Genomic DNA, 27,183 nt, shown 5'->3' with positions numbered 1-27,183 from the left:
ACACCAATACTCACATATATGCGCACACGTACACACACATACACAAATGCACACATAAACACACACATACACACCCGCCCACACACACACACACACACACACACACATATTCGCATATACACACACATGGAAAGTCCATAATGTTATGCATGGGTTTTTGTAAACTATGATTTTAAGTGAAATGGTGTATAATGGAACCAATTTTTTTCCTCATCAATGTTATACTGAAATTACATTGAATGAAATGATGTTACTTGAGGACCTTCTAGACCTGGTTTCACTTAAAGGTTCAGTTTCCAAGAACCTATGGATGATGTTAAGTAAGGACTTTCTCTCTCCATATATATATATGAACATATAAAAACATATATATTTGCTATATGTTCTCTATGTATTAAAATATATATTTAGAATATACACATATATATTAATAAAGGAATTCATAAACACACACACAGCCAAAGGAAGAAGGTACTGAGTAGACCTAAGAGAGCGGGAAGAACTCTTGCTGGGCAGATCCCATCAAGCCAGCCATACATGCACCAGCCCAGTTGCTTGTCCCTTCCTGTGAACCCTAATAACCCTTGTGTTGCTGTGCCACATGTCTCATGAAATCAGTGGTTAGGCATCCTCGTCCCTCCCAAGAGGACTGCAAGCTTCCTGAGGGCAGGTGGGAGCCATGTGCTGAGTGTTTTTGTGCATTCTTGCCATACCTCCCGTGCTCCCCCCTGTAGAGCTTTGCTCCTGGCTGTCATTTACTGACACTGACAGGGGATGCACAGGCTAGGGGCTGAAGGTGGGGGAGACTGGAGGAGGGGAGGGGTGGGACAATTTTGATGAAGGCCTAGGTGTCTGCACCAGAAGAAGGGATGATGTATTAATACATTGAGCATTGGTCTGTACTTGAGACCCCAATGTCAAGATATGGGTTATGGGTGATAGTTTTATAGTTATGGCAAAGGCATTTCTTCAAGCCAGTGGGAAAGTTTTCAAACATCTCTGAATCTTGGTGAATATCAGTACTGGTGAAAGAGCCCTTTTAGCCCACCTGGGAATGGCAGAATCTAGTATTGTTCTCTCATCATGGTAGCAGCAGGCATATTGGACCTACAGAGACATGCCAAAACATGTATATTTTTTCTGTTTCTGCTGTTCTGATTGACTTCCGACAGAACTTTGGCCTTGGCTAGCTTCTATTTAATCCAGGGGAATAGCTGGAAGGGCATTTTCTAGCTTCTGTAAGTCAGGTTGGAGATCAGGTGTAAGTGTCCTGTGGGTAGTGATAAAAAGGTGAAAATTAAGATTCTTAAAATGTGCTGATTAAAGTTTCATGACTTTCCAGAGCTGCTAATGCCTTTGTTGCCTTTTCTCCCATAGACTCTCATACCTTCTTCTTGTTACCTTTGCTTTTTCTTTTTTCTAATAGCCCGAAGTAAGCATGCGGGCTAAATGACTTCCTTCTGATGCGTGAGAGTTGTGGGTTTTAGATCAGGCGGTGTGACTGTAGCCTGTCAGCACCACCCAGCACTGCCCCAACCGGACTTGAGTACTGTCGGGGCCTGCTAGGCCCACACCTACCCTGGGTAATGCAGGTGAAGTGTTCAAGGAGATGCAAGTGCTAACTGGGTAAAGACTAGGAAAAGTCTTTATGGCAGGATGCCTGGGAGGATGCCTTCTTTGCACTACACATTGAGAATCACTGTTTCAGTATTTTTGAACGTCTTGGCATCATGAGTGCTTAATTTCTCCCAGATGATGTTAGTACAGTTATTGGTACATTTGTCCAGGGTAATATCTTCGTAATATCCTAGGACTTACTACACAGATAATACTTCTGATATGATAAATACAATTATTCCATATGGAAGATCTTTTTGGATGATTGGTGGTGTGGTGGCTTATCCCTGATTGCCTGTTAATGTTCAACTTCTGTTTCCTTGTCCATTTTATTGAAGATTCTTAATCTTCTGTAAGATTTCTAACTACTTTTATATTTTCCTTTTGTTTTATTCCAGCAGGGCCAGCATGGGCATCTTACCTTTTATCAGTCATTGTTAGTCAAAATAGTTCACTGGAACACAAAGTGAATTGCTGGTAAGAGGCTATAACGAAGTAGACAATAGGCTGAAGAGCACACCCAACTCAGGCAATATGCACACGGCTAAGAGCAGTTGTTAGATGATGTGCTTCATGCTCATTGATTAAGAGGACACGGGTAGGGTATGCTCTGTAGCCTGAGTTCTCATTTGCAGACAGCCGTTGATGTCACTTAGTGGATTTTAGGAGTCAGACCATATCCCATTGGCTAGCACTCAGTCACATAGCCCACCTACCTGCAGGAGAAGTTGGAAAATGCAATTTAAATGTGTGGGTAAAAGGAAATGGATTTAACAAACACATAGCATCATCTCTATCATGGTCTGCCCTTCTGGCCACCAACTATCCATCTCATTCTTTCCCTGACATAGAACACACACATCCCCTCTTAACAGGAGTGACCTCAAGTTCTTCCCAATCACTGTATTCAGCTCACATTTCAGGATCTCCAGGAGTGGGCCTCCCTGTTGAGTGGGAATGTGGCTCCCCTTGGTCCAGTGACCTATGAGCAAAAGAGAAATACTACTGCTTTCCCCTACACTTTTCAATGGTGACGATAACAGTGACATTTCTCAACCAGAAAAAAGAAGAATGAAGACAAAGAGAAATCGCTGGTCCACAGCAAAGCTAGTATCCTGCAGGGCGACACTGTGACTTTTCCCTTTCCATAAAGTGGGGCAAGTTCCCAGAATAGAATCTGATCTTCCTCTGCAGGAGGGACTTTTCTTTTTCATTTTTCCCAATGACCCCTGGCACTGACCCCTGGAGTTCTTTCCTGTCCATTATTCTCCTGGCCACATCAGAAATGGATCTTGGGTCTTCTCTCCTCCTAGGGACTGCCAGCATTCATAGTCTACTTCCTTCCTGAGACTGATTTAAGGCTTGCAGAATATTAGAAGTGTTTCTAATTTAGTGTCATAATGTCTTTAGTAATATTATTCTTTTAATAATGTAAAAAGGCTTCCGATTTATTTTTTAGAAAGTTCCATGTATCAGTAACAAAACAATTCTCTCCTAGATACAATTTCAAGACTGCTTGTTTATTTTAATGCTTCCTTACCCATGTGAGGAAGCATTGTCTTTCTTTTTTCCAATTTAATGGTGGGTATCTTAAGATTATCTTAAAAAAGCAAGTGGAAAGGCTATGCCCTTCATTTGATTTTTGCCAAAGGCCTGAGTCACATGCTCAACTGAGAAGTTTCCCTGGGTCTCCAACACTCAATGTGTTTAAAAATGCCGTCTCTCATGGTTGGATGTCTAGAAGCAATTGGCAAATGGTCTTTCCAATTCTCTATGTCCCAAATTTATGGATTGTCTCTTTCATATGACTTCTATCTGCTAATGGGTCAGTTGCATTCTGACTTCTTTTTCTTGAAAAACTTGACCAAACACTAAAATAGACAATTAGTAATGAATATAGTAACAAAATAACATATATCAAAGTATTCTTCATCCTCTTCCAATTCTTCTAGAACTCTATCCATGTCCTAGAAGTCCTAGAATAGAACCTTCTGGTTTTCCTACAACTGTAAGCTCCGTAGGCAGGTAGTGTGCCTTCCAGAGTATTGTTGGCAAGTTTTGCCAGTATTTTGCTACCATATAACCTAGATCTACAATATCCTAACCATCCCCATTTACTACCCACCTGCCAAGCCAATGTCATATTTTTAGGGTTTTTTTGTTTGTTTGTTTAAGGATAACCCCAATATCTACGTTAGACAAGGCAGGCTAATTCTGGCAACAAACACTTTCAGCATCTTAGAAATAAAAAAAAAATTCTTTCTTCCTTACATTATAGTCATTATATGTTAGTGGAGGGGGATTTTGGGCCACAAAATTATTTAGAACTCGGGCTGGCAGAGGCTTCTGACGTTGCCCTGAGTATCAAAATCCAACTGGTATCTGGGGAACTGATGGGGATTGTGGGTGACTGCACAGGACATTTTAGGGGACAGCCCTGGAAGTGGCAATATCATATCTCCCAGGTTCCATGGACCAGAACTCAATCGCATGTTTTCTTCTTACTGTAGAGAGGCTGGGGCATGTCACTTTGCCGGATGCCCAGGAGGAAAATGAAACTGGTTTGGTGAACACGTAGTATTGTCTCTGTGCACTGTGTATCTGTGATGCTGGAGGAAATGTGGTGATTAGGACCTGCACTGGGGATGCTGGGGTGAAAAAGAAAGAGAAGGAGAGGAAAGACTGTGATTCCCAAAGGGAGTGGTTTTGGCAAATGAATGAAACAACTGTTGAAACCGAGTGTTTGGGAGCTGCCGTGAAGCTGATGCCCATTTTATTACAGTGCCGGGGAGGTAATGGAAGCAAACAATGTGCTGTTTGTCTAAAAGGCAAAAGAATAACAAGCTATTGACTTAGACTTTTCTCTTCATTTCCCCTGACTTAGTTGATCAAACACAAGAGGTTTTCCAGTTGGAACTTGGAGCCTGTGTGCCAAGTGGCATGTCTGACCTATAGCATTTCTCTTGTGCCTACCTTTTGGGGCCAGCTGTCTCCTAGGTCCTGAGCTCTGTGCCTCACTGCTAAATAGCCCGAACCATCCCACCTTCTGCGTGGAGATGGAAGGACAGGATTCTCCTGGGGGTCTCCTCAGCTGTGCCCTGTGGTTGAGGGCACTGCCTGTGGTATCCCAGAGTCTTATTTAGATGGATGTTTGAGAGAAATTTTCCTTTGCTCTCCTCTACAAGAAAAGCCATTCCTCTTTTGAGTGGCAGCTCAGTGTAGACCCTTGACTCTGTTTTTTGATTTGCTTTTGACACCAAATTCATGGTCACATCCAGCAACCAAACAGGGTGCTGTGTACACATTTCTTGTGCTTGACTTACCTCTGATTGTTATTTTATTTCCCCTGTTTTATTTTATTTTATTTTTATTTTTGGATGGAGTCTTGCTCTGTTGCCCACACTGGAGTGCATTTGCATGATCTCAGCTCACTGCAACCTCCACCTCCTGGATTCAAGAGATTCTCCTGCATCAGCCACTCGAGTAGCTGGGATTACAGGCACGCAGCACCACACCCGGCTAATTTTTGTATTTTTAATAGCGACAGGGTTTCACCATGTTGGCCAGGCTGGTTTTGAACTCCTGACCTCAAGTGATCTGCCTGCCTTGGCCTCCCAAAGTGCTGGGATTACAGGCATGAGCTGCCAAGCCTGGCCTCTCCTGTTTTATTTTAAATATGTATCACTCATTTATTTTATCTGATTGTATTAGATGTAGATATATTTTGGTATTTGTTCTTGAAGTCTTTGAGCAAAATGGTTGAGTATAAATATGTGAATATTTGTTATTTTAACATTTTATTCATTCATTTTTTTGCAGAGGCAGCAAATTCACAATTCAAAAACTATGAAAAGTATAGTATGTGAAAAGTCTCCCACCTATTCCTATTTCTTAGCTACCTAATTCTCAGATGAAACCACTTTCCAATTTTCTTTGAAATATTCTATGCATATAGATGCAGCTTAATTTTTCCTTTTATATCTTTTTCAGAAATGGTAACATGCTATAATCTTAGTTTCATTTGTCTTAATTGTGGCATAGATTTTCATTTTATGATTGTATCATAACTTGTAAAGCACTATTGAATTGCCTGATAACCCTTGGTAGCCTTGATAAAACTCTGGTAGAAAAAGACTTTCTCCTTGTGAATACTTGTGTAGTGATGCACATATCAGTTGCTTTTCAGATCTCGACCTGTAATGATTGGTTATTGACTGTGACAATTTTTCTTTCAGCTTTTCTATTCCCAGTGTTCACTTGAAAACATATGCATTCCTGACCCCCAAGTAATTCCGCCAACTGGGCTTGTTTATTGTTTCAAAAAGATATTAACAGGATGGGGAATCCCCAAAGTAGGTGGGCTTGAGTGTGGAGCAAAACCATGTGTCTTTGCCTAAATCTCTTCTGATACTTGGAGGTGCTGAGAACAGTGTGCTCTTCTTGTTTGCTGTGATTTGAGAATTTAATTAGTTTCCTCAGTCTTCTATACTAAGATGATTTAATTTTGAGTGGAACTTTTCTAACTTCAAATGCTATCACTTTCTCAGAGGATCCTACGAATGCGTAACTGCACCTGTTCAGGAGGTGCCCAGGCCATCTTGGCATCTCTGCTCCCATGACTCCTCTCCACCCCGTCCCCAGCCCCCTGCTCCCCGACCTCTGGGATCACCTTTGCTGTCACTATTCCAATTGCAGGAAAGGCTTTTAGAGTCCTTTTAAAGTTTTTAAGTTTTATTAAGAAAATAGGAAAAAGAGAACAAAACTGTTTTCTATCTCTGCCAAATATTCCTCTTCTGAGCCTCTCTACAGGCCTGGCTATGCCATTCCCCAACTTTGTTCTGATTTGGGAAATTTCCCTGCCTTCTGGTCCGAGAAATCCTTCCCATTGATGTTTTTCATTAATTCCATGAAGCTATCAACTTGTCAATACGTCTTCTGGAAATTTAGCTTCTTCAGGTTTGGCCCTAGGTAATACCTTTTGTCTGACTCACCGGGTCTCTGGCCCTAAAGCCAGCTCCCGTGTATAACCTTATGGCGAGCCCTTTGGCAAGCCGTCACTTGCTTTAAAGACCCAAAGCCACATCTTCCTTTCCCACTTCATGGAAAGGTTCATGCTTCCTTTGGATTCATCTACTGAATTTTCCTTCTTCTACCCCTGGAGTGAATTCACTCTTAGTTTATCCTCAGAGCAGGCAGAGCAGGTCTTAGCTATGAAAACAGCTTTTGCTGTACTCAGGGTCAGAAAGCCTATGTTGTATGAACAGCCTTAGCTAAATCACTTTACCCTTCCTGATTTTAATTTCTTCTTCTGTAACATGAGGTTGGGGATCTTCTTTGTTTTTACCCCTTTTCTCATACCCATCCCCTCCCTATGCCCTCATGGGCAACTAATTCATGAGGTTTGATATGACTTTTATTTATATATGTTCTTTAAAGTGTGCATGGCTTTGTGGGCATGGATTTTTTTTACATAATTTTTAAATTTTAGAATAGTTTTAGATTTACAAGAAGGTTATAAAGTATGGAATATTTTTGTGTACCCAGACATACTTTGTTTCCCCTATTGTTAACATCTTACATTGCTATGGTACATTTGTCACAGCTAATGAACCAGTATTAATACATTATTACTATTATATAGCATATATATATTTTTATTTTTTAATTTAATTTAATTTAATTTAATTTAATTTAATTTAATTTAATTTAATTTTTGAGATGGAGTTTTGCTCTTGTCGCCCAGGCTGGAGTGCAGTGGCACAATCTCGGCTCACTGCAACCTTCACCTCCCAGGTTCCAAGTGATTCTCCTGCCTCAGCCTCCTGAGTAGCCAGGATTACAGGCACCTGCCACCACGCCCAGCTAATTTTTTGTATTTTTAATAGAGACAGGGTTTCACTATGTTGGCCAGGCTGGTCTCAAACTCCTGACCTCAGGTGATCCGCCCGCCTCGGCCTCCCAAAGTGCTGGGATTACAGGCATGAGCCACCGCACCTGACCTATATCCTATATTTTAAAGTGTCAAGTCCAATCTTTGTTCATATTTCCTTAGTTTCTCTGTCGTGTCATTTTCTGTCCCAGGGTCCCACCCAGGATTCCATGTTATATTTTGCATCATGTCTCTGTAGGCTGCTCTAGACTATAACAGTTTCTCAGGTTTTCCTCGTTTTGGATGACCTTGACAATATTGAAGATTACTGGTCAAGTATTTGGTAGGATGGCCCTCAGCCGAGATACGTTTGATGTTTCTCTTATAATGAGATTGGAGTTATGTGTCCTTGGAGAGTAAGACCACAGAGGTTAAAGTGTCCTTCTCATTATGTCACATCAAGAGTACGTGCTATCGACATGACTTATCAATGTTGGTGTTGACCTTGATCACCTGGCTGAGGGAGTGACTGTCAGGTTTCTCCACTTCAAAGTCACTCCAGTCCTTCTCTTTCCATTGTGTACTCTTTGGGAGGATATCATCAGGCACAGTGTATGTAGGCATGTATTTTTATTTTATTTTGTTTTTAGAGATGGAGTCTCACTCTGTCACCCAGGCTGGAATGCAGTGGTGCAATCTCAGTTCACTGCAACCTCTGCCGCCCAAATTCAAGCAATTCTCCTGCCTCAGCCTCCTGAGTAGCTGGGATTACAGGTGCGCACCACCACGCCTGGCTAATTTTTGTATTTTTAGTAGAGACGGGATTTCATCATGTTGACCAGGCTGGTCTCGAACTCCTGACCTCAGGTGATCTGCCCAGCTCAGCCTCCCGAAGTGCTGGGATTACAGGCATGAGCCACTGTGCCTGGTCCGGCATGTATTTTTAACATGTTATTATATGACATTGGGGTGTGAATCTCATTCTTATCTTGCTATTCATTTGGCAGTATGTTTCCAAAAGCCATCCATGTTCCTGCATTTACATGTAATCTATGGCTTCTAACTGCTGTCTAATACTCCATAATGAGCATCTATTACCTTTTAACTTTCCCATTCCTTCAGGGATGGGTAGTTAGTTTGCCTCCAATGCCTTACTAGCACAAGCAATGCTGTGACAAACATCTTAACAGATTCCCTAAGGAAACTTGGGGGTTTTCTCTGAGACCGTGTGGAGACAAAAGTGACTCCAGCTTAGATGCTAATCCACTACGTTGGCTTCCGATTACCCCAGTCTTGTGAATGCCTCCTGATTGCTATTTTATCTCCTGTGTGTAGTGCTGTCAACCTTGATGTTATGGCACACATTACAGGCTGTGACATTTGCCTGTTCCGGAGGATGCCTTTAATTGTCTTGCACAGATCATGTATCCCCTTTCCCTATGGAAATATACCCAGCCCTGGGTCTGGGGGTCACAGTTGTGAAGATCCACTCGTCTTACAACCACCCAAGACCAGGCTTCTGTCTGTAAGTTCCTCCAGTAAAACACACTTTACCTCCAAACTGAATTTGTCTCCCCTGTTCTTTTTTGGCTCCTTCAGCATTTGGGGGCCACTTAGTACATTCAACCCTTTCATGGAACAGATGAATATACAGCCACCGTAAGGTATATTATTACTGAATTGGACTCAGCCTTGCTCTACTCTCCAACCAATTGTACATGAGGGTTCCCAGATCTCTACATATCTGCCAATCATTGGCTTTATTCAGCTTTCACGTTTTTTCCTAATCTAGTCAATATTTGATATATATTATTGTTATTTTAAATTGTATTTTCTTAATTATTATAAAGCTTGAACAACTTTTAAACATACTTTTTAAATGATTTCATTTTTAAATGATTTCTATTCGTATCGTTTGCCCATTTTTTTATTGGTGTACTTGTATTCTTTTTATTTCCTCCTATATTCCTTGTTGAATTTATACATTGTAACTATCTTCTCCCATTCTGTCATCTTCCTGTTATATCTGCTCATGGTGCCCTTTGTTACTTTTAAGCTTTTCCATTTTATGTGATCAATTTAGTAAACATTTTGCTCTACAGTTTGTTTAAGAAGCCCTTTCCACTATTAGATCAAAAAATATTAAGTATACTATAATTAATCTGACACTTCCATTTTTCATATTCATATTTTTAACTCTGTTTGGAGCTTACCTTTAAATATTGCATAAGGTAGAAATCCATTTTGATTTTCTTCCATGTGGTGAGCCAGTTTTCCTACCACCATTTACAATTCGTTCTTTCCTTGTAATTTGGGGTATCACTTTGCTGTGTGTTAATTCCCACATGTGCATGAGTCTGAATCAGATCCTTTTCTTCTGCTTTATGAATTTAATTTTCTTGATCTTGGTCAGTCTTTACTGTATTTAGTTACTGTGCTTTAATATCTGAGAGGGACAAATCACGTATCTATCTTCTTTTATTGTAGAGTTGACTTAGCTATTTGTTTAGTGTATGCTTTTGAATCCATGTGAATACTTGAAGAAGTCCGCAAATCCATTGGAAATCTTGATTGGAATTTCTTCAAGTTTAAGAATTAATTTAAAGACAATGAATATATACATACACACACATGCATATATATTATATACATACATATACACATATATATGTATGTGTGTGCATGTTTGTGCATGTGTGTGTATATATATATTTTGTTTGTTTGTTTGTTTGTTTTAAGACGGAGTTTAGCTCTTGTCACACAGGCTGGAGTGCAGTGGTGTGATCTTGGCTCACTGCAACCTCTGCCTCCTGGTTCAAGTAATTCTTGTGCCTTAGCCTCCCAAGTAGCTGGAATTACAGGTGCCCGCCACCATGCTCAGCTAATTTTTGTATTTTTAGTAGAGATGGGGTTTCACCATGTTGGCCAGGCTGGTCTTGAACTCCTGACCTCAAATGATCTGCCCACCTCAGCCTCTCAAGGTGCTAGGATTACAGGTGTGGTCCACTGCACCCAGCAACAATATTTTTATAGTATCAAGTCATCTTATCTTAAAGCAGGGGTATCTATCTATCTATTCAATTTTAAACCAATTTCTATATTAAAATTTCAGAGAAAGGTAACTTAATAAACATATAAACCATGAGAACACACATAATTGTTGTGTGATTTGATTCTTAAAACTATGTTTTTTCTTTCCATTATTTTGTCAAGGTTTAATCATTAGTCTTTTAACTAAATTGTAATCATGTTGAGAACAAAAGCCATGCCTTTAATTTCTTTTCTTTTTTTATAAATAATATCAAGATGTATTTGAGATTCTGAGGATACATGTACAGGTTTGTTACATGAGTATATTGCATGATACTGTGGTCCAGGGTATGGATCCCATCACCCAGGTAGTGAGCATAGAACCCAACAGGTAGGTTTTCAACCCATGACCCTCTCCCTCCTTCTCCAGTAGTCAGCAGTGTCTGTTGATCCCATCTTTATGTCCATTGTTCCCATCTTTATGTCCATGTGTACTCAGTGTTTAGCTCCCACTTATAAGTGAAAACATGAAGTATTTGGTTTTCTGTTCCTGCATTAATTTATTTAAGATTATGGCCTTCAGCAACATTCATGTTTCTGCAAAGGACACAATTTTTTCTTTTTTATGGCTTTCCATGCTGTGTATGTACCACACTTCCTTTATCCAATGCACCATTGATGGGTACTTAGGTTGATTCCATGTCTTTGCTTTTGTAAATAGTGCTGCAGTGAACATACTAGTGTATGTGTCTTTTTGACAGAATAATCGACCCAGCAGTCCTAGTACTGGGTATATACCCAAAGGAAAGTAAATCATTCTACCAAATGCCTTTAATTACTTTTTATCCTTTCTGTGTCTCAACATAGAAAGAGTTCGGGAATAGTTTTTTTTTTTTTTTAAATAGTTGGCATCCAGGATAAGCATCTTACCAGAGGCGAGTTTTTAACATTAGTTGGCATCCAGGATAGTTGGCATCTTATTGGAGATTTTCTCTGACATCCTCTTTTTCCTTCTTCACATTTCTTTTTTTTTTCTTCCTCTTCACTGATTTGCCTGCTCTTTCCCTCTCTTTCTTGTTACCTCCCCTGAGTGAAGATGTCTAATGTGACCATGTAACGGGAGCTCACACCTACCTCCATTTATTGAGTGAAGCTCAGCACTTTTTTTTTTTTTGCAGTGTGGTGCAGTTCCTCTGGGAATGAGCAATGTAACTTAAAACTAGCTGTGTCAATAAGTCAAGGTGAGTTTTCAGCTTTATACTACTGCATTGTCAACCGTTAGAAAGATGTTAACATTTATTGCCAAGCTGTCTCTTAAATATCCTGTAATAAAAAGCCAAAATATGCTGTCTTTTTTTTTTCCAAATTCACCCTTAAGCTGCATTTTCATTACCACATTTTCTTTGCAAAGTGCTGTAACATTCTTTATTGAAACCTTTATTGTTTCAGGTGTTCTCATAGTAGTTTCCTTTGATCTAAAGAAAAAAAATTATTTTCTTAAATGAAGGGAAAGGAAAGTATTATAGTGTATCCTTTTTATTTTGCTAGTGACCTGTTTAACCTCTGCCCTGTGGGCTGTTATTGCCTCGTGTCTGCTTTTCAATCTATATAATTATGATGATCCAGAGACATAATTTGACCTGTACCCTATCAAAATCCATATAATAATAAGCTATATGATAATGCATTTTTCCTAGTTTAAAAAGTGTTTCAATCTGATTGTGTCACTGTGCACAGAATTAATCAAGTCAGTTTTCTTTGACACTATGTGCACTGGGAAGGCAAGACCATGTTTGAAGAAATAATTATAAAAATCAAATGCTGAATTTGCTGAAGGCACTGAAAAAGCACAGTATGCCTTGCCTCTAGTATTTTAAGAACCTAAATGTCTTTGGAATTCCTTGGCATTGCTGAGATAATTGATATTGGTGATGCTAATTATGGACTAATCAATTTTCTAATCCTGTTGAGGAGGAAACAAAGTTTTGAAATTAATGAAGTCACTGTGCCTCTATGGCATTTAGAATTTTTCATGAAATGTTTTCTCAGTGAAGGAATATGAGATAATATTTACTGTATTAGCACCTGAAAGACCAAAATGTGTTTGCTCAGAAAAGCAATCCTGTAGCTAAAATGTGAATGTGGCAGAGAGGTACATAGTCTGTTTCATAAAAATAAAGAGCCATGCCGGCTTGTAAGATCCAGGGTTATTTCTTTCATCTTTGAGGACTTGGAACACTTAGATCATCCATAGCCACTTAGATTTGACTCCAGAATTCAAGAGGGACTTTTGTTTTGTTTTGTTTGAGACAGAGTCTCGCTCTGTCACCCAGGCTGGAGTACAGTGGCACAATCTCAGCTCACTGCAACCTTCTCCTCCTGGTGTTCTTAGAGATTCTCCTGCCTCAGCCTCCTGAGTATCTGGGACTACAGGCTTCCACCACCATGCCCGGCTAATTTTTGTATTTTTAGCAGAGACGAGGTTTTGCCATGTTGACCAAGCTGGTTTTGAACTCCTGACCTCAGGTGATCCACCTGCCTTAGCCTCCCAAAGTGCTGAGATAACAGGCATAAGCCACTGTGCCCGGCTGACTTTTTTTTTTTTTTTTTTGTCCTCACCCCACTACCTCCCCCTGCCCAAGAGAGTTTTATCTTGCTCTCTGGGCATATTCACTCTGGGAAACTGCAAGTTCCTTCTGCTTGTTTTTCTGACAGTGGTACACAGAAAGATACACTGGTTAATGTTCTTATATTTAGGTCAGCCAAATAGCATAAGATCCTAAAGGTGGGTGACTTGCAGCTATTTCTGAGCGTTTTCTTCTAAGTTTGGAGCCTGGTGATAAACAACTGTGATGTGTGCCTGCATTTATTATCCCAACATATTTTTGAACATCTACACTGTGTAAATGTACCATAATAGCTTCTATTTTCTCCTCTATGGGGATTCTAGATTTTAAAAAAACACATCAAAAATCTTGCACTCATTTTCGGTAGGGAATTAAGACAGAAGCAGAAATGACATCCACACAAATGAGAAGGATGTATGTAGCAATACAGATGCATAAATATGTGCCGTCCATCACAGAGATTTAGGATGACTTGGTGAGAAAGAAAATACAACTTGACTTATTCTCTATTCAATGAAATGTGAAAATAATATAAAGAACTGCCTGTGTTTTTTGGTAGAGTAGCTCTGTATACATAATATATTTAATAATTAAAAACGAAATGTGGTTGTTTCGTATACAGAGCAAAGCTCTGTTTATGGCAGCACATGTCTGAGAATGAAGGCTGCCCAAAGCCAAACTTTAGGAAGCATTGCTTTTCTGTATTTGGACATTTTTCATATGTGTGATCATGAGGAGCTGCACATCCATGTCATTAAGAAATAAAGTCATTGCTAATGGCCTTAATTAAAAAGAAAGAAAAAGAGAAAGAAACAAAGGAAAACTATGATGTGATGCTAGGTGTTTGCTTCCATAGAGGTTTAGACGTTTGAAACTCCAAGTGCCCCAGTGAGTATTCACACTGTGGATCGAACTGCCCACATGCAAAAAGTTGCAAATGCTGTTTCTCAAACTGGGTATAACTTTGACATTCTACAAATTCTTTTAGACCTTTACCGTTTTGGTTTTTAAATAATTCTTAATGCACGTATTTTACCAGGTATAAAGATGAAATGTTCCCCTTTTTCGTGATAACAATTAAGATATATTTTTTCTAGAATAAGATGAGATTATTGTTATTTTTTCTCAGACAAGGTTCATCAGATCTTTGAGAATTTTGTTCTTGTGAAAACTTTTTTTTTTAATTATACTTTAAGTTTTAGGGTACATGTGCGCAATGTGCAGGTTAGTTACATGTGTATACATGTGCCATGCTGGTGCACTGCACCCACTAACTCGTCATCTCGCATTAGGTATATCTCCCAATGCCATCCCTCCCCCCTCCCCCCACCCCACAACAGTCCCCAGAGTGTGATGTTCCCCTTCCTGTGTCCATGTGTTCTCATTGTTCAATTCCCACCTATGAGTGAGAATATGCGGTGTTTGGTTTTTTGTTCTTGCGATAGTTTACTGAGAATGATGATTTCCGATTTCATCCATGTCCCTACAAAGGACATGAACTCATCATTTTTTATGGCTGCATAGTATTCCATGGTGTATATGTGCCAAATTTTCTTAATCCAGTCTATCTTTGTTGGACATTTGGGTTGGTTCCAAGTCTTTGCTATTGTGAATAATGCCTCAATAAACATACGTGTGCATGTGTCTTTATAGCAGCATGATTTACAGTCCTTTGGGTATATACCCAGTAATGGGATGGCTGGGTCAAATGGTATTTCTAGTTCTAGATCCCTGAGGAATTGCCACACTGACTTCCACAATGGTTGAACTAGTTTACAGTCCCACCAACAGTGTAAAAGTGTTCCTATTTCTCCACATCCTCTCCAGCACCTGTTGTTTCCTGACTTTTTAATGATTGCCATTCTAACTGGTGTGAGATGGTATCTCATTGTGGTTTTGATTTGCATTTCTCTGATGGCCAGTGATGGTGAGCATTTTTTCATGTGTTTTTTGGCTGCATAAATGTCTTCTTTTGAGTCATGTCCTTCGCCCACTTTTTGATGGGGTTGTTTGTTTTTTTCTTGTAAATTTGTTTGAGTTCATTGTAGATTCTGGATATTAGCCCTTTGTCAGATGAGTAGGTTGCGAAAATTTTCTCCCATTTTGTAGGTTGCCTGTTCACTCTGATGGTAGTTTGTTTTGCTGTGCAGAAGCTCTAGAATTTTTTTTTTTTGCTTACACTTGAGAAATATTGGTTTAAACGATATTATAGTATATCTGAGCCTACTACTCAGTTACTCCTTTTTGGTCGTAATATTTTATTTTATTATTATTATTTTTTTAAGACAGAGTCTCACTCTGTCACCCAGGCTGGAGTGCAATGGCCCGATCTCGGCTCACTGCAACCTCCACCTCCCGGGTTCAAGCAATTTTCCTGCCTCAGCCTCCCAAGTAGCTGGGATTATAGGTATGCGCCACCACACCCAGCTAATTTTGTATTTTTAGCAGAGAGACCTGGTTTCTCCATGTTGTTCAGGCTGGTCTCAAACTCCCGACTCAGGTGATCTGCCCACTTTGGCCTCCCAAAGTGCTGGGATTACAGGAGTAAGCCACCGCTCCTGGCCTGGTCTTAATATTTTAAAATTGCTTTTGTGCCAATAATCTCCAAAGTCAGTCAACCAACAATTAAGATTATGAAGATGATCATTAGATAGATAGATTGACTGATTTATCCATTTCCCAGATATGTTGTGGTTCTGTTTTCAAAATGGACTTCCTTTTTTTTAGGACAGTTTTAGTTCACAGCAACATTGACTGAAAGGTATAAAGATTTCTCATGTATCCCCTGCCCCACACATGCACAGCCTCCCCTATTATCAACATCACCCACCATAGAGGTGCATTGTTAAAAGTAATGAACCTACATTGACTTACATCATTATCACTCAGAGTCCATAGTTTACCTCAGGGTTCACTTTTGGTGTTATATATTCTATGGGTTTGGACAAATGTATAATGATTTGTGTCTAGGATTATAGTATCATACAGAGTAACTGTATTTCCCTAAGAATCCATTGTGTTCTGTCTGTTCATCCCTTGCTCCCCACTAATTCCTGGCAACCACTGATCTTTTTACTGTGTCCTTAGTTTTGCCTTTTCTAGAATGTCATATAGTTGGAATCATACATTATGCAGCCTTTTCAGATTAGCTTCTTAAATGTAGTAAATGCAAGCTGCATTTAAGTTTCCTTCATGTCTTTTCATGGGTTGATAGTTCATTTCTTTTTAGTGATGAATAATAGTCCATTGTTTGGATGTCCCACAGCTTATACCTTCATCTACTGAAGGGCCTCTTGGTTGCTTCCAAGTTTTGGCAATTATGAATAAAGTTGCTATAAATATTCGTGTGCAGGCTTTTTTTGTGGGCACAAGTTTTTCACTCCTTTGGCTATATACCAACGAGTGTGATTTCTGGATTATATGGAAGGAGTATGGTTAGTTTTGTAAGAAACTGCCAAATTGTCTTCCAAAGTGGCTGTACCATTTTACATCTCCACCAGCAATGATGAGAGCTCCTGATGCTCCACATCCAATACTATTGTCAGTGTTCTGGATTTTGGCCATTGTAATATGTAGTGGTATCTCATTGTTATTTTAATTTGCAGTTCCCTGATGACTTCTGATATGGAGCATCTTTTCATATGCTTATTTGCCACCTGTGTACCTTCTTTGGTGAGGTGTCTCTTAAGGTCTTTGGCCCATTTTTTAGTGGGGTTGTGTTCTTGTTGAGTTTTAAGAGTTCTTTGCATATTTTGGATAACAGTCCTTTATCTTTTGGGTAGGGAATTAAGACAGAAGCAGAAATATTTTGCAAATATTTTATCTCAATCTTTGGCTGCCTTTTCATTTTCTCAACAATGTTTTTCACACAATAGAAATTTTTAATTTTATTAAAGCCCAGCTTGTCAATTTTTTCTTTTATAGATCATGCCTACAGTGTTGCAACTAAAAAATTATCACTGGTCCCAAGGTCATCTAGATATTTTCCTGTATTATCTTCTAGAAATTTCATAGTTGTATATTTTAAATTTAGGTCTGTGGCTCATTTTGTGTTCCTTTTTGTGGAGAATGTAAGGTCTATGTCTAGATTCATTTTTGTTGTGTATGTGGATGTCCAGTTGTTCTAGCACCATTTGTTGAACATACTCTTTTCTTCATTGTGTTGCCTTTGCTCATTTGTCAAAGATCAATTGACTCTATTTATGTGGGTCTATTTCTGGGCTTTTGATTTTGTTCCATTGGTCAATTTGTCTATTCTTTCACCAATACCAAACTGTCTTTATTACTGTAGATTTGTAGCAAATCTTGAAGTCACGTAGTGTCAGTCCTCTGACTGTTCTTCTTTTTCAATATTAAGTTGGCTATTTTGGTTTTTTGCCTCTCTGTCTAAACTGTAGAATCAATTTCTAAATTGATTCAAAGTTATCCACAAAATAACTTTTTCAGATTTTGATTGGGATTGAATTGAATCTATAGAATAAATTGGGAAGAACTGATGCCTTGACAATCTTGAGTCTTTCTATCCATGAACATGGAATATCTCTCTATTTATTTAGTTCATCTTTGATTTTCTTCATCAAAATTGTACAGTTTTTCTTATATAGATCTTATACATATTTTATTATATTTATAAATAAGTTTTTGTGTGCTAACATTCATAGTATTGCATTTTGATTTCAAATTTCACTTGCTGTTGGTTATAGAAAAATAATAGACTTTTATATACTAGCCTTGTATTCTGTGACTTTGCTATAATCACCTATGAATTCTAGGGGCCATTTTGTTGATTCTTTGAGATCTTTTATAAAAACAATCATGTCATTTGTGAAGAAGGATAGTTTTATTTCTTTCTTCCCAAAAGGTATACCTTTTATTTCCTTTTCTTTCCTTATTGCATTAGCTAGGACTTTCAGTACGATGCTGAAAAGCAGTGGTGAGAGGAGACATTCTTGTCTTTTTCTGATCTTAGCAAGAAAGATTTGAATTCCTCACTGTTATGTATGATGTTAGCTGAAGGTTTCTTGTAGATGTTCTTTATAATATTGAGAAAATGTTTCTCTATTCCTATTTTACTGAAAGTTCATAACATGAATGGGTGTTGGATTTTGTCAAATGTTTTTTCTGCATCTTTTAATAGATCATGCGATTTTTTTTTCTCTTTAGCCCGTTGATGCAACGGATTACATTAATTGATTTTTAAATGTTGAACCAGTCTAGCATACTTCAAATCTCACTTGGTTGTGGTGTATCCTTTATTTTGTACATTGTTGGATTTAATTTGCTAATATTTTGTTGGAAAATTTTGCATCTATGTTCATAGGAGATATTGGTCTGTAGTTTTCTTTTTCTTATAATACTGTTTTCTGATTTTGGTACTAGAGTAATGCTGGCCTCATAGAAGGAGTTAAAAAGCAGCTTATGGAATTATTGAAATTGTTATTATTATTTTTTTAAGACAGAGTTTCGCTCTTGTTGCCCAGGCTGGAGTTCAATGGTGCGATCTCAGCCCACTGCCACCTCTGCCTCCTGGATTCAAGTGATTCTCCTTCCTCAGCCTCCTGAGTAGCTGGGATTACAGGTGTGCACCACCTCACCCAGTTAATTTTTTGTATTTTTTAGTAGAGACAGGGTTTCAGCATGTTGGCCACGCTTGACTCGAACTCCTGACCTCAGATGATCTGCCTGCCTCAGCCTCCCAGAGTGCTGGGATTACAGGCGTGAGCCACCGCACCCCACCGAATATATATATGTATATATATATATATATATATTTTTTTTTTTAAAGAAAGTATCATCTGAAAGACACCATAGAGAATTGGTATAATTTTTCCTAAAATATTTGGTAGAAGTCATTAGTGAACCCATTTACGTCTGGTGCTTTCTGTTTTGGAAGGCCATTATTAATTCAATTTCTCTAATATATATAGGCCTATTAACATTATCTATTTCTTCTTGTGTGACTTTTGTCAGATCGTGTCTTTTAAGAAATTGGTCCCATTTCATCTAGGTTATTAAATTTTTGGACATAGAATTTTTCATGGCATTTTTAAATTATTGCCTTAATGTTCATGAGACCTGTAGTAATGTTCCCTTTTTAATTTCTGATATTAGTAATTTGTGTCATCTCTTTTTTGTTCTTAGCTTTGCTTGAGGCTTATTGATTTTATTCATGTTTTCGAAGAATGAGCATTTGGTTGTGATAATTTTCTCTATAATTTTCTGTTTCTAATTTTATTTATTTTCATCTGCTTGCTTTGAATTTAATTTTTTTCTTCTCTTTCTAGTTTTCTGAGTTAAAACCTTATGTGATTGATTTTAATTTTTTCCTCTTTTCTGATGTATGCATTCAATGCCATGAATTTTGCTTTAAACACTGCTTTACTGCATCTCACAAATTTTAAGTTGTGTTTTTATTCTCATTTGGTTCAAAATATCTTAAAGTGTTTCTTGAGTTTTTTTTGACCCATGTGTTATTCAGAAGTGTATTGTTTAATCTCCAAGTATTTTGGGATTTTTAAACTATCTTTCTGTTATTGATTTCCAGGTTAATTCCACTGTGGTTTGAGAACTGATAGTGATTTCTATTATTTCTATTATGATTTTTATTATTTTAAATTTGTTAAGGGGTGTTTTAAAGCCAGAATGTGGCTTATTTTGATGCATGTCCTAAATAAGTTTGAGAATGTGTATTCTGCTGTTGTTGGATGAGATAGTCTATAGATATCCATTATATTCCATTGATTAATGGTGTTGTGTTTATGTTCTTTCTTATTAGTTTCTGCTTTTTGGCTTTGTCCATTTTGGATAGAGATGTGGTGAAGTGCCCAAGCATAGTAAGAGCTTCGTTTATTTCTCCTTGAAGTTCTATCAGTTTTTACCTCATGTGTTTTGACGCCTTGTTATTAGGTCTATACACTTTAAGGATTGTTATGTCTTCTTGGAGAATTAGCCCTTTATCATTACATAATACCTCTTTTTATCCTTGATAACTTTTCTTGGGCGTGTGGTCCATCGTTGACTCAAATGCTGCCATGCAGCAAATGACTGTAGTTAGATTAATATCTAATATATTTGTTACTGTTCTCTATCTGTTGCCCTTGCTTTTTGTTTCTGTTTTTATTTTGCACTGGTTTCTATTGAGCATTTTATATGATTCCATTTTCTCTCCTTTATTAACACATTAGTTATTCTTATTTTTTACTCTTTTTATTGCCTGGACTACAGTTCATAATATTCACTTACAACTAATCCAAGTCTACTTTCAAATAGCACTATACCCCTTCATGGTTGGTGTATCTCATAATATCAAAATGGTCCTAATCCCTTTCTCCTTTACCTTGTTTTATTGCTTTCATTCATTTCACTTATACATACTTATACAATTGAATACATTGTTGCTATTATTATTTTGAACAAATTGTTATCTGTTAGATCAATTAGAAAAAAAATTCTTTTATTTTACCCTCAACCATGCTCTTCCTGACTTTATGCAGATCTGAGTTTCTGACCTTTTTTATTTTCCTTTACATTTTAAAAATTGTTTTAAATTTTTAAAATATCTGCCTTTATTTTGTGCATTCAAATGGAAAACCCTTCAGAGAGCCCTCAGAGCCCTCAGGATAAAACTCCAATGTAAAGAGGCACAAATCTTTAAATTTGGAATAAAGAAAAAACCTTAGTCTTTCTTTTTCTGTCTTTGCTTTTGTCTGTCTCTGTCTACACATATCAGAACGGAAAGGGAAAGAGTGAGAGAGACGGACAGACAGGAACAGAAACAGTTTTAAACTATCTAAACATCATTGATATCTAAATATAGTTTTGGATATCTATCTGTCTCTCTTTCTCTCTATCTGTCTCCCTCTCTCTCTATCTGTCTCCATCCATCCATCTATCTATCCATCCATCCATCCATCCACCCATCTATCCTTCTCTCTGTCTCTCTCTCTCTCTATTCATCCATCCATCCAGCCAGCCAGCCAGCCATCTATCCTTCTCTCTGTCTCTCTCTCTCTCTATTAATCCATCCATCCATCCATCCATCCAGCCAGCCAGCCAGCCAACCAGCCAGCCAGCCAGCCATCTATCCTTCTATCTATTTATCAAGATGGAAATGGACACACAGACAGACACAGCAAGAGAGAAGCTAGGCAGGATGCTAAAGGTAAGGCCAGCTGGGAATATGTCCCAATTGAGGGGACTGGCCTGAAAAAAGCCCCTTCCAATGGCTAGAAACACAGTTCAAAAACTTGGAGTAGAGAAGAGAGGTGGAGGAAAGTCTGTATGCTGCTAAAACTGCCTTCAGGTTTAACCATCGTTTTATTTACTGATAGAACCCTGTGTCGATCTAGGTCGAAGCCTTAGGAAGTAATGTTGAGAAATAGTAGCAATAGCAATAAAGGCAGAGGGAAATTAATCTCAGCCGAGTGCTGCTCTGGGAAAGCAGGTAAGAATTATCCACTTTGTCAATGAAGTTTTCTTCTGTCAGAGCCAACAGAAGTTGAAAGTGATCAGGACTACCAGGAGCATCAGCAGGGACCTCTGTGGCTCTAAAGTGGGGTGGATTTATGCAGCATATGGAAAGTCAAGGCAGCTCTTCACAGTGGAATCAGTCAGGGAGTAAGAGGTATTTATTGGTTTCTAGTGTTCTTTTCTGCTTTTCAGCAACGTCTTTTCTCATAAAACCTACAAGCGGGGCTTGAAAAATAAGATGTCCTGCCTGCTGTGGGTTGTCATACATTAAAGAGCCTGGCATTGGGACCTTGGAACAGAGCGATGCCAGTCAGCAAGAACACATTCTACTGTGGAGCTTGATAAATGTTTGCCAGGGGAGGAGGAAGAGAACATCAGAAAGTTCTTTCCGAGATGTGTGCAGATCATTAACTTGCAGATCAGGACCCTGAGCATATCTGCTCTGGTTTGTGTGTGGATTTCCAGTTCTTTGAAGACTTTCCTAGATCACAAGGAGATGCAGGAAAAAGCCAGTGAGGAGCCTGACCGCTTAGCCTGAAGTAGAGGTTCCCCCTGCACCCAGTTCTTTGGCGACATACTGTGCCCTCTTGCTTCCCCTGCTAGGAAGCTGGGCTGTGCCTGGTGGAGCAGTGAAGACCCTGGAGAAGAGTGAAGGGCATGGACACCTGATACTGCCTCCCTAGGACCTTGCCTTACCTGCCAGCCCCTCAGTGCCCTGGCTTAATTGCCTGGCTCACTCCTTAGAGGGTTCTGACTTGGAATTCAAGGTCTTGCCCCATATCCAAAGGCTGCCTGTCCTAGTGCATGTTCTAATGTTCAACACAGCTACCTCAAAATGGGGGATGCTGCAGGTGAGGAGACTGTGACCTGTCGACAGATCCCCTGCCTGATAAGCTTACTGGTGGCAACATTTCCATTTACTGAGGACCGAGTGCTGTACCAATCTTTCTGTGCATCCTGTCATTTCTTTCTTCCGATGACCTGTCAAGTGGTAGATATCTCAATTTTGCATGCTGTTCCTTAGAGGAAATTGTAGCTCATGGAAGTCCTGTAATGTGCACAGCTACAATATCTGGGCCCTGTTATTTTGCAAATTCTCCAAATACCACCGTCCTTAGTCTTGTCACTCACTCCCCCTCCCCTTCACTGTCTGAGGTTAAAGGACAGGTGACAATGCAGTTGAGTTCAATTGTGATCTCTTTAATTCAGTAAGGATGTATTGGGCTCTTAGAATGTGCCAAGCACTGAGCCTGGGGCCCAGCACGCAGGATGGGCAGTAATGTCGGCACTGTCTGGGTAATGGCATGGAGCTCCTTGAGGCCAGAGATTAATGTGTGAGGCACAAGTGTCATATCACTCAAGTGGCCCTAAGTGCACCGGCAGAGGCACACTGCTCAGACAGGTGCTGGTGCTTTTTTTGGTGTTAGTGGCTAGTGGAGTAGGATGTGGTGTGGTGGACAGGCCCGGATTCACAGAGGCACTGGGAGGTGGGATCTGCAGAGTGAATGAGGGTTCAGTGGTTAGACAAGGGGAAAAGGACACTCCAGGTGGATGGCACAAAAGCTCAGAGCTCTGAGTGCATGGAAATGGTGTGCAGTGTAGCTTTGCTGGAGCACAGAGTGAGGGGAGTGAGTCTGGAAAGCTAACCAGGGGCGATTCCCTGCCTGTGGCCCCTGGAGGTGAAGATCAGGCGAACTGGCTAAGGAGGGGCCAGTTAGCCAGTTATGGGGCTGGAAGGCCTTGTGCTGCATGGATCCTGCCCTGGGAAGGAGATGAGATCTCCGAGCACAGCAGGTGGCTTTCTGTTCTGGGACTTCTTGCAGTTTCCCTGACACTCAGAAGAAAGAGAGAAAACAAGGTGACCTCTGACTGAAAGGGGAAAGAATTCCAGACTAGATCTGATGAAGAAGCAAAAGGGAATACTGTGAAAAATGTTTCAGACTTGCAATTCCAGGCACCTTCACCTCTCCAGTCTCTGCAGCAGCTGTGCGGGGCGGAGCCGGGGAGGGAAAGAGATATCATTCTAAGTAGTGCATTTAAGGGAGAACTGTAGGTCTGCAGTTTTGAAAGTTTTTCTTTCTTTCTTTCTTTTCTTTAAATACCACAGAGACAGTGATAAAGAGCTGGGTGAGATTCAAGGGTTCTGGTTAGCAGACAGCCACTTGGCGAGTTGCTGACTTCAGCACTTGCTCTGTTCCTTCCTCAAGTGCTTTTCTCCTCCTCTGCTAAATACACAAAAAGAAGCACCCTGACATGAAATATCAATGTTTTTTTGTTTTCATTTTTCAGTACTGATCTGAGTAAATCATGCCAGGGTCATTTATTGGGAAGGAAAATGTGGCATGGCAGGCGATATGCCTTGAGGTGAGTGTCATGTTTAAGCAGAGCAGACAACGGTGGGGCCGGTTTCCTCTCCCTGGGGAGCCTCTTGGAGCCTGCTGTTAGGTGCATGGGCGCTGTGGATGCACACTGGGTATCTGTTGATATACAGGCTTTCAAGGCCGGTTAAATATGGAGCGGAAACGTCCCCTTTCTTTGTAGCTGCGTCAGCCCCTGAGAGTCAGCCAGAGGGGGAGAGCTGGGTTGTTCTGAGGAGGGGCTTCACAGACCAGAGTTGCTATTCTCTATCTCTTCACACACCAGAGTTGCTATTGAAGACTCTGAGTGAGAAGAAAGTGGGAAAGAAGAACAAAGAAGAAAGTGTGGAAAATTAAGAAGCTGTGATGGTATATTTTAAGCACTTCTTTTGCTTTTCAGGTTCATTTTGTAACAGGAAGGGACCAAAACTGGTCTAGGCAGTGTCTTGGCTAAATGCTATGATGCTTGTGGTGGTAGTGAATGGAATATAAAACATCCCTTTGGATGCTCAAGAATGTCATCGGTTTGCAATTTGCAGAACGGAAAATGTTGATTATAAAGTATGGAGAAATTTTTATATGCAACATTAATGCAACGGATAGTATAAAATAAATCTGGGGATTGAAAGTTTATATCCTGAGTTCCTGAGTCTCAGACCTTTAAATCAATACTCCACTCCACTGATGAGAGCAGTTTCCCAACTGATGCATCAGTACAGCCAGTCAAAACATAAAAGGAGCCCCCAGGGAGGAAGCAGGTGTCATACTAAATTCTCCTCTCAGCCTAGGGACAGCCTAGGCTCTGAATTGAATTTCTGTAACTGTAAATTCTGGACTTAACTATGTTGGCCAGAAATTGCACTAAAAAACAGTCTCATGGTCTGGTGATCATGGTATTCATAAGGATCCAGTACAGCTTTTAATTCGTGTCCTTGGCTGCCTGATGGACAGACCTCGTGAGGTTTGTATTTGTGTCTTTAGGAGTCAGGTGTGCCAGGGCCTCTTTGCATGGGTGTTTCACGTGAGTGTGCAAACCATTGGCCACAACTGTTCTTGGAGGTTTGCCCCCAAATCAGCTGCAATGATCGGATGCTTGGCTATAAACATGGACTCAAGGTTAGGGCTTTCAAGGTAAGGGCTAAGTCCAGAGTAGATGTGTGATTAGACTAGGGTCTGGGGAGTTATACCATAATGCCAGGATCATAGAATAGCATTGCTGATGAGACATTGGTAAGTGGAGAAATAAAGGTGCAGAGAGGACTTCTGAGGCTTTGTCTTAGGTTCCTAAGCTAAGACAGAGTGTTTCTGCATCTGTCACCCTCCCTCTTCTGAGCTTCCAGGGCCATCTAGTCCTCCTCTGCTGTCAGGAAAATGAGATTCCATTTGCCACTTTTGCCCAATGCCCACCCTCCCCCGCCACCTGTAAGCCCTTGTCTTCACATGAACGCAATCATTGCCACACAAAAGCACAACCCCTTGACGATGACAGCTGGCCGTTTGTGTCCCCAGCTGAGACAAAGACCCAGAGAGGAGAAAACTGATCCACAGGGGAGGGACATGCCTGACCTGGGAATACCTGTGTCCACTGGGGAAAGGAGAGTTAGAAAGGCAGCGGGACTGTGTGTGTCTCACAGCATCAATGAGCTAAAACCCAGACCACGCTGCCCTGCGGTTTCCTGCACCAGGCCACGTGCTCTGCTGTTGGGCTTCATTTCTTCTGTAGTTGTCTTTCCCCCATCCCTAAGACAGGGAGGCAACACCAAGCCCAAGTAAACTCCCCCGGAAGAAGGCTGATAGAGAAGCAGGACTGTGGGCTATTCTGTAGAGAGTGCCTGGAGTCATCTGGCTGGAGAAAGACTTTGTGAAATGCAATGTAGTGTGTTTCCTTTCTGGGTGCCCTAGGTTTCAATGAGTAGTCAGAACCAAGACACATAGTGCTATATGGTGTGTTGGGTAACTCCATGTCTGAGTCAGGGGAGATTCTGATGCCTCCAAATGCCCATGGAGTCTCTGTAGCTTATGGTGCCAACAAGCTATTTCTCATCCATGTGCATGAAGTCAGTTCTTCCTAAAAGCATCTTACCCTGTAAGAAAGTGAGGCTTGTTATCCGAGTTCTGCACCACATTATGCATCAACACTAATGCATCAGTGCATTTGATTAAATGATATTTATGTTTGAGTTCAAAAATTTCCAAAAAAAACATTAAAAAAATTGCCTTTTGATGTCTCCTAAGGCAGCTGGCAAAGAACTAATTGCAAGGGAAATTCTCTTTGGTGAAAGTGGACATTCTGCTTAACTGAATGAGAATACCAGCGGGTGGGGAGAAATAAACATGCTTTGTTTTCCACAGAAGGGAGCTTGCATATGTCCTTGAGGAGTGTACAGATCTGGGGCAGAAAATACACAAATATGTGCTTCTACTAAGAGATCCCAAGGAGGGGCGAGTCCGTCACACTTTTCCTGAAGAAGGTGACAAGAGGAATTCAGATGGATTGTAATTACAGATGTCACACCTCAGGGGACCCCTCAACCTTGAGAAACTTCAGGGCTTAGACAAACGACATAGATACAAATCAGTGGCTCTGGTCCTCACAGACCAGCAGGTTTGAAAACATTGGGGACATTACTTGTCATGAGCAATTCATTTTACTTGGAAATGTTCGCAAGCGTTGGACTTTTCGGCATGACTTGGAGATGAGATTAAACATCACGAGAGCTTTAGAAACACCCCCAAATGGAAAATTTGTAACGCTTGAAAGGAAGCAGCAAATTCGCAAAAGGATTTCAAGGCTGTTGTTAAATCATGCTATTAGGAAAGAAAGGTCAGCCCTTGCCCGATTGGAAAATCGATGGAGCGTGGCTCTGGAACTTGTCTTCCTCCTTGTGTGGACAGCGAAAGATGGCATTCCCCCTCCAGGGGCACACGGCCTATTCTGTGCCTTCTCTCAACTGTCCTTCAGTCTTCTTACCTGGCAATGAAAGGCAAAGTAGGGTTTTGTTTGTTTGTTTGTTTTTTGTTTCTGTATTTTTAAATTCACAGACTTATTTTTGTGCTCAGTTTTAGGTTTACAAAAAATTGAGCGAAAGTACCCATGTACCCCCCTCTCACCACGGTTTCTCTCTGTTATTAATATCTTGCATTAGTATGGCACATTTGCTGCAATTAATGAGCCCACATGGACACATCATTATCACCCAAAGCCCACTGTTGC

The 27,183-nt window shown here is 40.0% G+C and overlaps 1 protein-coding gene across 6 annotated transcripts in view, besides 1 other annotated feature; it reads left to right on the top strand.

Annotated features, from left to right (window-relative positions):
• The window catches only part of ZMAT4 (zinc finger matrin-type 4), a 367,237-nt gene that overhangs the window by 77,561 nt on the left and 262,493 nt on the right, over positions 1–27,183 (top strand). For 2 of the 6 annotated variants that reach the window (XM_047422236.1, XM_024447275.2), the window contains exon 2: positions 11,695–11,757. The exons of the other annotated variants lie outside the window; for them this stretch is intronic. The gene's annotated coding sequence lies outside the window, so the exon portion shown is untranslated. The remainder of the gene's footprint in view (positions 1–11,694; positions 11,758–27,183) is intronic. 6 annotated transcript variants of the gene reach the window in all.
• Positions 16,408–16,909: an enhancer, noted in NCBI's record as "NANOG hESC enhancer chr8:40660876-40661377 (GRCh37/hg19 assembly coordinates)". NCBI's record gives its function as "activates a minimal SCP1, AML or CMV promoter by ChIP-STARR-seq in primed H9 embryonic stem cells {active_cell/tissue: H9 hESC(primed)}" and the evidence as "EXISTENCE:reporter gene assay evidence [ECO:0000049][PMID:30033119]".

Source organism: Homo sapiens, chromosome 8, assembly GCF_000001405.40.
Source record: "Homo sapiens chromosome 8, GRCh38.p14 Primary Assembly".
In the NCBI taxonomy this organism is placed as follows: domain Eukaryota; kingdom Metazoa; phylum Chordata; class Mammalia; order Primates; family Hominidae; genus Homo; species Homo sapiens.
The sequence above is the reverse complement of the archived record's forward strand: the minus strand, read 5'-3'. Positions and strand labels throughout refer to the sequence as shown.